At 41.8% G+C, this 15652-nt stretch overlaps 1 annotated feature.

Moving 5' to 3' along the window:
* Nucleotides 9847-10416: an enhancer, noted in NCBI's record as "OCT4-NANOG hESC enhancer chr9:40673375-40673944 (GRCh37/hg19 assembly coordinates)". NCBI's record gives its function as "activates a minimal SCP1, AML or CMV promoter by ChIP-STARR-seq in primed H9 embryonic stem cells {active_cell/tissue: H9 hESC(primed)}" and the evidence as "EXISTENCE:reporter gene assay evidence [ECO:0000049][PMID:30033119]".

Raw genomic sequence — 15652 nt, 5'->3', positions numbered from 1 at the left:
CATCACAGGCCTGGAAACCTAGGAGGGAAAAATGGTTTCATGGGCCCAAGACCCCCTGTTCTATGCAGCTTTGAGACATGGTGCCCTGTCTCCCAGATGCTTCAGCTCCAGCCACAGTTAAAAGGGGCCAAGGTACAGCTCAGGCCATTGCTTCAGAGGGTCCAAGCTCCAAGCCTTGGAGGCTTCCATGTGGTGTTGAGCCTGTGGGTTCACAGAAGTCAAGAATTGAGGTTTGGGAACCTTCACCTGGATTTCAGAGGATGTATGGAAATGCCTGGATACCCAGGCAGAAGTTTGCTGCAGGGGCAAAGCCCTCATGGAGAACCTCTGCTAGGACAGTGCAGAATGGAAATGTGGGGTTGGAGCCCCCACACAGAGTCCTCACTGGGGTACTACCTAGTGGAGCTGTGAGAAGAGGGTCACTGTCCTCCAGACCCCAGCATGGTAGATCCACTGACAACTTTCACTGTGCCCCTGGAAAAGCCACAGACACTCAATGCCAGCCCATGAAAGCAGCCAGGAGGGGGTTGTACCCTGCAAAGCCACAGGGGTGGAGCTGCCCATGGCCATGGGAGCTTACTTCTTGCATCAGTGTGACCTGGATGTGAGACCTGGAATCAAAGGAGAACATTTTGGAACTTTAAGGTTTAATGACTGCCCTATTGGATTTCAGACTTGCATAGGGCCTGTAGCCCCTTTGTTTTGGCCAATTTCTCCCATTTGGAATGGGTGTATTTACCCAATGCCTGTGCCTCCATTGTATCTACAAAGTAACTAACTTGCTTTTGATTTTACAGGCTCATAGGTGGAAGGGACTTGACTCAGATGAAACTCTGGACTTGGACATTTGGGTTAATGCTGTAATGAGCTAAGACTCTGGGGAACTGTTGGAAAGGTATGATTGTGTTTTGAAATGTGAGGACATGAGACTTGGAGGGGGGCCAGGGACAGAATGATATGATTTGGCTCTGTGTCCCCACCCAAATCGCATCTTGAATTGCAGTTCCCATAATCCCCAAGTGTAAAGGGTAGGATCAGGTGAACATAATTGAATCATGGGGTAGTTGCCCCCATGCTGTTCTCATGATGGTGGGTGAGTTCTCATGAGATCTGATCATTTTATAAGGGGCTTCCCCTTTGCTCAAAACTCATTATTTCTGCTGCCACCATATGAAGAGGTGCCTTCTGCCATGATTGTAAGTTTCCTGAGGCTTCCCTAGCCATGTGGAACTGTGAATCAATTAAACCTCTTTTCTTTATAATTACCCAGTCTTGGATATTTCTTCATAGCAGCATGAGAATGGACTAATACAAGATGTGAGTGCATTTCCAGTTAATAAATAGGTAATATTTTCTGTGTTTTCTGCTATGGTAATGAATTGCATTACAACTTCACTAAAGAGAGAAATCACTCACAATCTGAGACCTAAACCAAGAGCTGAAGAAAGTGCAAAGAGACCTACAGTAATTCCTATAAGTTATTTCCAATGGAAGGCCTCTGTGTATGTAGTACTGTAATAGAAAAACCTATGGAATAAAAAGAATGCATTCTCTGAGTAATGTTATGCAGTTTAATTAACCCTTCTCTGCATATTTTTGGCAGCTGTCATCTGTATTATAGGGATAATACAATTAATGGTACTGTCATGATTACATAAGTGAGATGAGTGAGGCATTTTTTTTGTTTTTTGTTTGTTTGTTTGTTTTGAGACAGAGTCTTGCTCTGTCGCCAGGTTGGAGCACTGTGGCGCGATCTTGGCTCACTGCAACCTGCAACTCCCTGGTTCATGTGATTCTGCTGACTCAGCCTTCTGAGTAGGCCATTGTGTGTGTGTGCTGAGGGGTTCCCTTATTGGGCAAAATGTACAGGGTAGCAAGGGATTTTTGGCAGCAAAGGATTGTGATTGGGTGGGGAGGAGTAGTAATATTTCATGAGAAGTAAGTTGAGAAGCAAACGAGTGCTGTGTGTTTTCATTAAGTAATAGGGTCGACACAGCATGGGAACATACACATCAAGTGGGCGGCCTAACACTAAATCAGAAGTAGCCTGGATGAGTTGGAAGTCATGGCCACTGTTTGTAGGCCAGGAGGATATGCTTTAGCACTGGCTGGTTTTGTGGGAAAACAGAGAGAAAGACATGGCTGAGTCTCAGGGTGCTCAGAGAAGGCCACAGCCTTGGGGTGCCGTGGTGACCACAAACACTTCCCCCATCCCATACCAATCTTTAAGAGCCTTTTCCTCCTTAAAGGCCTGTCACTTAGCAAAGAGCTTTCAATGAACCCTCCCCTCTGGGCCACTTGTTGGATTGCAGCCAATCAGTGATGGAGGGCTGGACACAACTGTGGGATGCTGTGATTTGGTTTGGCTCCTGGGTCTAGAGTGCTCTGGGGTCCACTGTACTTCTGGGATAAAACGCCAAGGCCATGACTCTCTTGCTAATTTACAAACAAAAGATTGAGGGCTAGCTAAACAAGGACAGAGCGGAAGCAGCTTTCTGTAAGACACACCCACCAGTGTGCCCTGTCAGTTTACCATTGCCATGGCAACACTCAGGCATTACCACCCCTTTCAGCGGCAATGACCTGATGACCCAAAAATTACCACCATTTTCCTAACAATTTCTGCACAAACCATCCCTGAATCTGCATGTAATTAAAAGTAGGTATACATATGACTGCAAAACTGGGCTCAGCCACTACTCTCGACACCCTGCCTATGGGGCAACCCTGGGAGCAGTCACTGAGCTGTGACCCCACAGGAGCTGTAACAGTGTTGCTTTGATAAAGGTGTTTTCTTCCACCTTACCACTGGCTCGCCCTTGAATCCTTTCCTGGGTGAAGCCAAGAACCCTTGCAGGCTAAGCCCCGCTTTGGGGTTCGCCTACCTTGCATCAGCATCAGGTTCGTTTTTTAAACTTGTAAAATACTTTTTGTGATTCTGTCATGTATTTTGCAGTCATGAACTAACATTTTTTTTCCTCAATTGTCAGTTGCAGTTTCCTCAAAGATCATTATAAATACTCCTTAACCTACAAAGTTTGGCAGTCACAGCCTGCTCTTCGAGGAACAGCCTGACTCACCATCAAGCGGCTCCTCAGGTGGTTTTACTTCCCATGTTTCCCATGTGAGGTACTATGCCTCAGTGATTCCTGGCAAAACTAGGATTCTCTGTTAGTATTGTGCTAACTTTGGAGTGAGTTTCTTTTGGTGAGTAATAATTTTAGTCAATGATACTACTGATTATTTTATCTTTTTTTAGGCTTATGATGAATGCTTGATTTATGATTAATATGTTTTTCACTTTTACACATTTCAAGGAAGGAAACAAGAACAGACAGAAACACAACATACTTCATGAAACCACATTTTAGCATCCTGGCCGAGTATTCATCAGTCAGCAAGATAGAGAGACATAAACTATTTCCAGCAAGAATACTTCATAAATGATGAATAGAAGAAAAAAAGAAGTCCTAAAAATCTTGCAGAACTGCCTTAATTTACTATCTTTACACTGTATCCTAAGTCACTCTCTAGCTTCTTGCTCTAAGCATATGAAATGTAAGAGCTAATGGGAACCCCAGTGCCTGTATAAATAACAAGAACCAGCATGTCTTTATTTATGGCAGGGAACACTCTACAACCTGGGACAAATGCCACTCTGCTTCAGTTTGGGGAAGCTCCTCACTTTACCATCCTGACGTTGAATAAATGATTCAAAGGCAACTACAGATGCAACCTGAGCCACTGGATGGGCTTTTGTAAATAAAGTTATCTCACCTGGCATTCATTACAGAGAAAACAAGAAATAAGGCACTACATGTCATATTTGTCTAGATCCTATACCTATTTAGGTTCACATTAAAATGAAGAGAAAACAACATAGGCTGAGAATCAGAAAACCTGAACTCTGTCCCAGCTCAGCCACTGGCCACAGGGAATTAACCAATCTCTTTGAACGTCAGTTTCTTCATTAAGCATCGTAGAGAATGTCAAAACCAACTTTATAAATACTGTCATTCCAAAACCACACAATTCAAATATAAATAATCTTTATAAGGTAAAACAAAAATGTACATAATACTTTACATAAACATTTTTAGAATAAGTTTATTATAACTCGATAAGCAAAATAATCCAAACCTTTATACATTTCTACAAGGATAGTCACGTATGTCAATTTTTCGGTTTCCTCTCGTGCCTATTTTGTCTCCTGAGCCGGCCCCTTTCCAGCTGACACGTGTGCTCCGTGTTCTCCCACAATAGCCTGACCTGGCCTGAGTCCGCGCCCCTGTGAGCCTCCTTTCTTTGCTTACAACAGCAGCCTGCCTGATGTCAGTTATGGACTATTCTTTCTTTCAGCCTCATTTCAGGGTCCTCTGCCTCTTAGAGCTGCTGCTGTAGCTTAGCTAGAGACCCGCTGCTGTTGCATCATGGAAAAGTGCCACATACGTTCACATGTGAAAGAATACGCAGACCTTCATGTTGTGTTTTAGTTTTAAAAAAAGTCAGAAGTAGCTTCACTTGATTTCAGCTTGTAAAGACATAGGAGGGAGGCAACTGAGAATCACCGTTGCAAAAAGCAAACATCAAAAATCACATTAAAATGCTGAAGTGTTGTGGATCACAAACCTAGCTTTATTGGATCAAGCATTCGTGAGAGTTCTTCTACTTGCTTTGTTATGCTTTCTATCAGACAGGGCTCATTCTCTGTCTTTTTTTTAACATATTCATTTTTTTCCTTTGGTGTGTTTAGATTATTATCACATCTTATGTTTTAAAACTAGCAAAATATGTGTAAGTCATGAAGACAGCGTAAGAAATAATAAAATGAACACTGATGTACACATTACCTGCCTAAGAATCAAAAACTACCCATATTTTTAGAGTCCTTAACACTGTCCTGTTAATTAGTCCCATTTCTTGTCTTTATAATTTTGCCAAAATAAATGCATTAGTAAAGGACATTGAACATTATTGTTTTACATGTTTTTCAGTTTAAACAAATGGGATTACACTGAATATATTTTTCTGAAATTGCTTTTTGGTTCAATATTAAATTTGTAAGATTCATTCTTATGATATTCTTATCTGTACTTTCTGTGCATTGATTTAGAGTATTCCTTCACAGGATAATACTATAATGAGCATTCCATTTTATTAGATTGGGGTTATTATCCATTTTTTTCTGTTACAAAAAGTAGATGTCCTTTTCTTGTATGAGTCTCCTGGACATAAGAGTTAGATTTTCTCTAAGGTATAAACCCAACATTCAAATCATTGTGTCAAAAGATTTGTACACTAAGTTAAAATGAACTGTTTTCCGATTTATGCTCCCATTAGAAGTTAAAGGTTCTGATAGATCTATATTCTCAACAATACCTAATAGTATCACAGTTTTTTTTTTTTTTTTTTTTTTGAGACAGAGTCTCGCTCTGTCACCCAGGCTGGAGTACAGTGGCGTGATCTCAGCTCACTGCAAGCTCCGCCTTCTGGTTTCACACCATTCTCCTGCCTCAGCCTCCTAAGTAGCTGGGACCACAGGTGCCTACCACCACGCCTGGCTAAATTTTGTATTTTTGTTAGAGACGGGGTTTCATCGTGTTAGCCAGGTTGGTCTCGATCTCCTGACTTTGTGATCTGCCTGCCTTAGCCTCCAATAATGCTGGGATTACAGGCATGAGCCACCGTGCCTGGCCAGTATCACACTTTTTAACATTAGTTAACTTGGTTTGTCATTGGAATTTTAATCTGCATTTTTTAGAAGTACTGAATCAAGAAAAAAATCAAGTAATGAAAAAAATGTTATTTTAGTAAATAAAAATGCTATAAAGACAATAAAGCAAGTGAACGTAGTCAAAAGCGGAGAGGGGCTACTTCATTTTGATAGTCAAAGATGGCCTTGCTGGTCATCTGAGTTGAGAGGTGGCTGGCAAGATGAGAAGAGATGTTAAGTAGCTGTGGAAGGGGCCTGCTGGCACAGGGCATGCTCTAAGGCCCTGAAAAGAGGCAAACATTCTTTCCCTCTAAATACCTGAACTAAGTAAAAACAGTCCTGGATTTGCACATTTGAATATGCACAGGTTTAATTAACATAGTTTAGTTAAATAGCACTAGTCTCCCAAAAACGTGGTTACAATTTCAGTTACCACAATATGCTAACTGTGAGCAACTGCATAAAATCCAAACTTCATTCCCAGCTCTTAATTCCACAAATGCCTATGTGAGTAAATAACAGGCAAGCATCATGATTAGGGACTGTATTAATCTTGTGGGGATGCTGCAACAAAGTATGAAAAGCCGGGTTGCTTAAAACAACAGAAATGTATTGACTCGTAGTTGTGGAGGCTAGAAGTCAGAAATCAATGTGTTGGCAGGTTCACGCTCTCTGCTGGCTCTAGGGGAGAATCCTTCTTCCCCTCTCCTTCCTGTTTGGGTTTGCCAGCCATCCTTGGTGTTGTCTGATCTACAGATATATCACTCTGTTTTCTCTATGTGTCTTCACATCGTCTTTTTTGTGTGTGTGTCTGGAGCTGTATCCAAATTCTCCTTTATTATAAGACACCAGTTAGTCTATTGGATTAGGACCCACCCTAATGACCTCATTTTAACTTGAGAACCTCTGTAAATGTGCTATTTCCAAATAAGATCATATTATTTTGAGATATTGGGGATTAGGATTTCAAACATATCTTTTTAGGGGGACACAATTCACCTCCTTCAAAGCCTGTCAGTGACTGCTCACTGTGCATCTGCTAGTTCGCACACAGACAGCAGAGTCTGCAATCGTGTTGACTCCTTGTCTCCCAGTGAGAAACCCATGTGACATTTATAAATATGAATAATCAGAAGAAAAAACTGGTCAACAACCATTGATGTGCGGCAAAGAAATAAAAAATGTGATAACCCTGGAAGTGTATTCAAATACAATGTAAATGGAATCATAGAATTGGCTCACCACAGGAAACGCAGCAAGAGGAACTTGGCGCAACGCAGTGTTCTGACATAAATGAGGAACGCAGCTGTGATGAAAAGGATGAAGAAGCCCCAGAGGAAGTGATGCCGGCAAAGACAGCAACAAACTTCATATTAAAGGAACTCTTGTAGATATTGCATGACGTTGACAATGTTAGATGCTGTTCCGAAAACAGCACGACAGTTCACCAAGGCATAGAAACACTGCTGGCTCCTTATCATAAGCTATACGACAAGAGGGAGGCAAGCACTGTTCAAACTGGGCTTGATACACGTCTATAAATAAATAAAGCACTTTAATTGGCTGTTGTTTAATGTTTTAAATTACAGTGTAAAAATGAAGTACTCCCAACCAGGCACGGTGGCTCACTCCTGTAATCCCAGCACTTTGGGAGGCTGAGGCGGATAATGAGGTCAGGAGATCAAGATCATCCTGGCTAACACAGTGAAACCCTGTCTGTACTAAAAATAGAAAAAATCAGCCTGGTGTGGTGGCATGCCACAACTACTTGGGAGGCTGAGGCAGAAGAATCGCTTGAACCCAAGAAGTGGAGCTTGCAGTGAGCCGAGATCGTGCCACTGCACTCCATTCTGGGCGACAGAGCGAGACTCCATCTCAAAAAAAAAAAAGTACTAATTTCACTATGTTTCATTTCCTTATACATTTATAACCAACAGTAAGAGATTTTTAATGTTTTGGCCAAAATTTTTAAATGACACAGAACAGTCGATGTTTCACATGGATTATTTAGGTCACTTTACAGATCTTTAGCTTACATAGTGATTTGTATGGCCCTGCACTGCTGTGCAAAGAGAGGACTGTCTGTGTTCTTAACCAGTAAGAAGGAGGGCAAGAAAGAGGTTCTCAGCCAGATATTGCGTATGTAATAAAATGATGGGAGAGGGAATAGCACTTTAGATATGAAATGTACCCTGTGGGGAAGCTATTTGAACAACAACAACAAAATAGCTTAATTTAACCTGATGGAGTACACTCAGCCACCTTCTAGATGTCCCTGCTTATTCTTCAAATCTTCTCTTTTGTGGCCCCAAAGAATGATTCACTCTCTGGAGTGAAAAATAACCGTTGCTTTCTTTGCCTGGAACTTTAAACTGACTTGTGCTGTATCATCCAAACCTGTTCAATTCTCTCTTTTCTATTACTCAGTGAGGTCCAAAGGAGCCAAAGACAAATCTCTCCTGTTTTTCTTCGAAATGTAAAGATGTTGCATCTGTAACCACAGGCTGCTTTTAATCCTAAAAGTCAGCGTGATAATGAAATCCAGTGATTAATTTCTGTCTTCTAATCAATAAGTAGACATATCAATTTATAGTATGTTAGAAAGCCTCAACTCCACTGAAACAAAAAGCAAGAGGCTCTGCAAATGTTGGAGTGTGCTAAAGGAAAAGCATGGACTGATGTTTGGGGAAAGGTTGGTCAATGTGATGAGGCCATCTGTGTTTGCTAATAGTGCTTATCAAAGTTAGGTTCCTACACAGAGACAGAGACCAGGAGACAATCCTGTATCCTTCTTGATCCTTATAGTCCAAAGGGATAGCTCCTAAGTCTTTGAGAAAGACATTCTGTGTTATAGGAGATTTAAAGGGACAGAGAAAAGGTTTATAACTACAGGTTTTCTGTGTTTTTTTGTGTTTTTTTTTTTTTCTAGACGGAATCTCACTCTGTCACCAAGCTAGAGTGTAGTGGGGCGATCTCGGCTCACTGCAACCTCCGCTTCCCAAGTTCAAGTGATTCTCCTGCCTCAGCCTCCCAAGTAGCTGGGACTACATGTGTGTGCCACCACGCCCAACTAATTTTTGTATTTTTAGTAGAGACGGGGTTTCACCATGTTGGCCAGGATGGTCTTGCTCTCTTGACCTCAAGATCCACCTTCCTCAGCCTCCGAAAGTGATGGGATTTGAGCCACCACGCCTGGCCATAATTGCAAGTTTTCTAAAGTTAAGGCTCTTAGAAATGGGAGGTCAGGGGCCTATAGTCAAGTTTTGGGTGGGACAAACAGTAAATTCTTTTGGCAGAATTGAATGTTCCCAGGCAGGTGCTTTAGAGGGGTATGGGGCATCGTAGGGACGTGGCTCTGAGCTGATAGAGGCTGTGTTGGAATTTGGCCAAGTCCCTTACTGTATGTATGAGGAGGAGGGATGTGCAGAAGAAGTTGTTTGTGCCAAGAATTTGCGGTTTTCACAGGTTAAGACAGCGGTGCCTGGGATCATCTGCAAGGCATGAGTCAAATGTTGACACAATGATTGTTTGCAGACTCATCTGAGGGCTTAGGCAGATCTGGACCTGTTGATACTGAAGTTTCTGAAGGTAGAGGAAGAAAATATAATGTCTCAATAATATCTGAAGTAGGGGTAGGGAAACAGAGATTTAAGGAGGTGAGATCCCTTCAGGCCTCAGAAAGAAGCTTCACTTCTTGTGCCTCTCTTCAGAATAAATGGGTCATTAAATTAGTTCTTTGTAACTAACCTAGGCATGATGGTGAAGAAGGGAATAGTGAGAGGAAGAACTTTAAATAAATATGCCTGAGAGATCATACTAGATTAATGGGAGAGAAAGAAATTTCCAAGAAGCTGTCATGGGAAAGGGCTCACGAATAATAATTTAAAAATTAGTTATTGATAATATGAATAAATCAATAAAAATAAATAAAAAGAGATCTGCCAATAGCCACACTTACAGCACCAGATAGATTTTAAATAAATTAAAATTTGAGTTTTTAATGAATTTTCTACAATCCAAAATTTATTTGTTTAATTTTTGCAACGAAACACCATTTCTTTACTTTTTGCAAAAGTAAAAGTAAGATGCTACTTGTACTTTTTAAATAAAACTAATTTTAAAGAAAAACATAATTAGCCAGATGTGGTGGCAGGCACCTGTAATCCCAGCTACTGGGGAGGCTGAGGCAGGAGAATTGTGGAGGTTGCAGTGAGCCCAGAAGGCCCCACTGCATCCAGCCTGGGTGACAGAGCGAGACAGTCTCAAGCTTCTTCAGTGCTCACATGTAAACTTCTACTTTCCCCTTCAGATTACAGCAACCATCATGCCAAAGCTATACACTCTCAGGGAATCCCTGTGGATTTCACTGATGACCACTTGACCAACTATCATAAAGATCAAGGCCAGGGGTTCTCAAACTCTCAACATTTGTGTGCTCATCTCCCCTTCACCCAGAGACTCCCCAGGGCTGCTGGGCCACACTTTGTTTTGTTTGACTGGAACATAGTTTGAAAGGGATGGAAATTTCCAAAAGGTGTTAATAGACACATAAAGATTTTTAAATATTAAAAAAAAGAAAAAGAAAGAAAGAAGGAAATGGGCATTTGTGAACTTTGGTCATGAGAACGCAGGCCTCGCAGTACTTAACTACTCCTTCCAAACCCCTGCCCAAAGAGAGGACCAAACTCTAGTGAGGCTTCCAGCAGCACAAGGATGTCCCACAGATGACCCCAGCCCTCCTTAAAATGACTGCCTGAGAAAGCTCACTTGCAAGGAGAATTTACTGTTTGTTTCAGGCAAAACCTGGTGATGGGCAGGTAGAGCCCCGAATCCCCTCTTAGAACCTTAGAAAGCTTGCAATTATAAATCTTTTCTCTGCCTTTGAAGTGTAAATCTACATCCCAGAATTGTCTCCTCAAAGACCTGAGAGCTGTCTCTTTGAAATGCAAACATTCAGGAAGCTAACTCTTGCTCTTGTTGCCAGTTCCTGAGGGAGGGGAAAGGCCTAGCTTTGGCAAGCACCTTGCTCCAGCTTGCACCTCTGACTCTTTTATTGCCATCAAAATCAACATGTAGACTTTTTTCAAACCCAATGACAGCCCATTACAATGGAGGCCATAGCAATGGAGGTCTCTACATGCAACAAAAATGGTGGGACAGTTTCCTGACAACAGTCCAACTTTATTCCAAGGATAAGCATGTCATGAAATTATTGGATGGCAGATTATGCTTATCTATGGTCTTCCTTTTTCTCCTTGGTCTCATCCCAATAACTTACAGATCCTTTAAAGGCAAAGGCCAAATATTCAGCTAAGTTAGGCATACTTTAGATGCCAATATCAATTTTAGCTATATGGGAGATTCTACTTAAGATATTGAGGACGATCATGTGTGTACAGGGCAAAAAAGATGGGACAAAGAGATAAGGGGATGGGAAATCGCACCCTCCCTCCGCACCACAGACCATGACCTGGGGCAGGTCCTCTAACACCAAGCCCACCCAGGCCCCATCTAACAGTATGCCGCATTCTACATGACCTCAGAGTTCTTTCGGAATTCCAGCTGAAAAGCTGAAAAGCAATACTATATAGCTGTGGTTTCCAGCTGGCCCATGTTAGTATGTATAGCTTTTCTTCCTCACCATGAAAGCACTATGGGAGAACGAAGCCCGATGCTGAGCATGCTTTGCCAGGTGGGTGCTGCTGAATCACAGACCTCAGCGACTGTGTTCCGCCTCCACAGAGGCCGGAGATGTTTGTTTCCCCAGTGTGTTCATATATTTCAGCCAGTGTCTTGCACTTTGCCCTCTCAGTTTGCTTCACTTTCTGGCTCAGTGAACCTGACCTGCAAGTCTCCCTGCAGTTTCCCTCAGCAAGTGCTCACTGGGCAGCCCCAACATGTGAGAAACGGCTGTAGGGTGCACAGAGGTGAACTAAATTACTGAAAACTATTACTTTACTAAAATGCTTCCTGGATTCCAGAACTCACCAACTGGGAGAAAGGTCAGACACACACGGAGACAACTCATCTACACAAATGATCATCAGTGATTTAAAGAAGGTGCAGGAGATCATGGAATAAGAACAAGAAGAGATTACTTTCCAGGGCTCTCAGAAAGTTTCTGAAACGAAGTGCCATTGACCCTGACCTTAGCATTGTGATGGAGACATTACAGAGCTGGTAGGAAGGAGAAGAAGGAATGGCTGGAACACACTTGGGGTGAAATGAGCGGCATTTCAGTGTGGGAGCTGCAGACTCGGTTTTGGTGGAAGAGTTAGGAGCCAGGATCTTGTCAGGAATAATTCTGTGTCCAAGTGCAGAATCGTGGTTTGCTCCATTACTGCCAGTAACTCCATTTCTCAATCATGATGGTGATGCTTTTTTTTGGCTCTCAATCCCGGAGATTGGCCATACTGAAGTCACATTACAACAATTAACTTTTCAACTATTAGTTGATTAATTTTTACCAAGTAGCAAGAACAGCTGTTTGGCACGTAGCAGTGTGGCATGAGTATCTTGTAAATGAATTAAACAAAATATCTCTCCAGCACACACACAGTCATTCTTGCTGCATGTCAGCCTCCACTTCTCCCTCCATTATTTGATGCCGTGAAGCTGAGGCAGCCAGCTTGAGCGAAAGTTTTCAGATCTCACTCCAACAAAGAGCTTTGATTGATTCACTTAGTATAAGGTGTTTTATCTAGCTAAAGAAATCCAAGCTGAGTTTTATTAATTACTAAGAAAAATATCTGTGCAATAGATTAATCTTTGATCAAAACTATGTGTGAAGTAGAAACATATTACACATATGGAGAGCAATATTATGGAATAAAAACAACCTATGTGTGGCATAATTGACATTGTCTTTATATTTTGGGGGGGGCTGAATACGCAGTCTCGCTCTGTCGCCAGGCTGGAGTGCAGTGGCACGATCTTGGCTCACTGCAATCTCCGCCTCCTGGGTTCAAGCGATTCTCCTGCCTCAGCCTCCTGAGTAGCTGGGATTACAGGTGCATGCTGCCACACCCAGCTGATTTTTGTATTTTTAGTAGAGACAGAGTTTCACCATGTTGTCCAGGATGGCCTCGATCTCCTGACCTCATGATCCTCTCACCTCAGCCTCCCAAACTGCTGAGATTACAGGCATGAACCACCTTGCCTCGCCTATAAATAATTTTTGAAACAGATACAGAATATATAGATAGCTTAACAATTATAAAATTGTATTTATCAAGTATGTCACGAGGTAAACATTTTACGCTATGCAAAAGGGAGCAAACCTCCGAATTTGTCATGCAGGGTCACTAGTGGAACTCACAGCAACAGGTGTGATAAAGCAGAGGAGGGAACCAGGCTTCCATGTGCTTTAGAGAGAGTGAAACATGAGGAGTCACAGGCAGAGAAAACTGTTTTTCAGAAAGAAAAGAAAGGGGACATGACAGCCCAGCAGTAGGGTGAAGAGGGCCTCTCCGTGGGTGCCACTGGCTTGAGCTGCTGTAAGTGGCTGTGCCTGGAACAGAGGATCTGGATAGGAGAATGGGGAAGGGAGTGCTGGAACCGGGGTTGGGCAGGAGCAGCAGTCTGGAGACCAGAATGACCTAGGGTTTCCTCTCATGCTCCCATTCCCAGTGTTTCACGTGTGTAAAGTAGCAAGCATGTATATACTGCTTAGAGGCATCTACACTTACATACTACACTCATATCCAACACTTGCATCGTACAAAGTACACATAGTAGGTGTGGCATGTAATAAGTTACCCTCCTATATTTTCTTCTAAAAGATTTTTAAATATTTGCATCTCAAATTTAAGTCCTTTGTCCATTTAGATCTGGCCTTTGTGTGATAGGGATCCATTTTTGGGATAGAGATGCATTCTGATATTTTCCCATATGGATACCAATTGCTCATACCATGGTTCATATAGACCCTTTCTGACTGTTCTGTAATGTTAGCCAGGGCATACATCAAGATTTCACACAAGCATACACTTTCACAATAGCAATTCCTGCTGTGGTAATTATAACTTCACAGCAAATCTGGTACGAGATAGACTCACATAAGCTCCACCTCCCACCTTCGCACACTTTAGTCTTCTATGGGATTGTCTTAGTTATACTGGGCCCTTTTCTCTTCCATATAAGCTTTGGAAGCAGTTTAGTGACAATGGTACTCTTGTCTTTTTCTTGATTTTAAAAGGAGTGATTTCAATATTTTTAATCACAAAACATGATAGGTGCTGTAGGTTATTTGTCGACTCCTTTTATCAGGTTAAGGAAGTTACCCTTTATTCATAGGTGGAAATATCAATAATTTAATTTTCGTAAATTTTTTTTTTTTTTTGAGAGGGATTCTCACTTTGTGGCCCAGGCTGGAGTGCAGTGGCAGGATCTCGGCTCACTGCAAGCTCCGCCTCCCGGATTCACACCATTCTTCTGGCTCAGCCTCCCGAGTAGCTGGGGCTACAGGCGCCCGCCTCCACGTCCAGCTAATTTTTTTTTTTTTTTTTAGTAGAGACAGGGTTTCATTGTGTTAGCCAGGATGGTCTCAATCTCCTGACCTCGTGATCCACCCGCCTCAGCCTCCCAAAGTGCTGGGATTACAGACGTGAGCCACTGTGCCCAGCTGTAAAATAATTTTATAGGCCTTTTGAGACAATCATATAATTTTTGTCTTTAATTTGTTGATAAGGAGATAATTTCAGTAGATTTTCTAACACTGAACTAAATTTGCATTACTAACCGAGCTTGTTCATGGTTTTTATACTTTGCTAGGTATACTTCCTAGTATTTTGTTTACACTATTTGTCTGTGTGCATGGATGAGGTACACCATAGCAAGGTTATCCTAGTATCATATGAATTAAAGAATGGTCTCTTTTTTTTCCCCTCGCAGATTATTAGTGTAACATTGGAACTACTGGTGACATCATCTAGGCATCATGTTTTCTTTGTAGAATTATTAATTATTAACTCAATTACTTTAATGGTATGATTTCCATCTAGATTTTCTAATTATTTGAGTCAACTTTGATATGTTATATGTATCCAAAAATGTGTTAATCTCACTTATTTACAAATGCATATATATGTCTTGTTACTTAATGAAATAGATCATAAATATAAAAGTGTGTGTGTACAGCTTAAGAAGAATATAAAATGAGCATATGCGCCCTTCCTTCAGGTTATGAAATAGAATATTTCCAGTATCTTAGAAACTCCCATTGCCCTTCTTCAATGCCACTCACTCTTTCCACAAGAGGTAACCACTATCCCTAACTTCCTGTTAATCATTCCATTGCTTGTCATTATAGACTTGCATATTGTTTAGTTTTGCACATGTTTGACTTTTTTAATAAGTGAAACTGTGTATTGTTTCTTGTTTTTTTTTTCTGAGACGGAGTCTCCCTCTGTTGCCCAGGCTGGAGTGCAGTGGCGTGATCTCCGCTTACTGCAAGCTCCGCCTCCTGGGTTCATGCCATTCTCCTGCCTCAGCCTCCCGAGTAGCTGGGACTACAGGTGCCCACCACCACGCCTGGCTAATTTTTTATATATTTTTTAGTAGAGATGGGGTTTCACCGTGTTAGCCAGGATGGTCTCGATCTCCTGACCTCATGATCTGCCCACCTCGGCCTCCCAAAGTGCTGGGATTACGGGCGTGAGCCACCGTGCCTGGCCAACTATGTATTGTTACTTGTGATTAGATATGCATACACACAAACATGTGTATGCATATATATATATATATATACATGTACACACACATTATTTTTTAGAGCAGTTTAAAGTTCACAGCAAAACTGAGCAGAAGGTATAGATTTCCCATATACTCCCTGCCCCCCACACATGCATAGCTTCTCTCATGATAAACGCCCCCCACCAGAGTGTTGCATTTGTTACAATTAATGATACATGATACATCTTATAGTTTGCATTAAGGTTC

This window comes from Homo sapiens, chromosome 9 (genome assembly GCF_000001405.40).
Source record: "Homo sapiens chromosome 9, GRCh38.p14 Primary Assembly".
Classification (NCBI taxonomy): Eukaryota; Metazoa; Chordata; class Mammalia; order Primates; family Hominidae; genus Homo; species Homo sapiens.
Note: the sequence above shows the minus strand (reverse complement) of the source record. Positions and strands in the feature narration are given on the sequence as shown.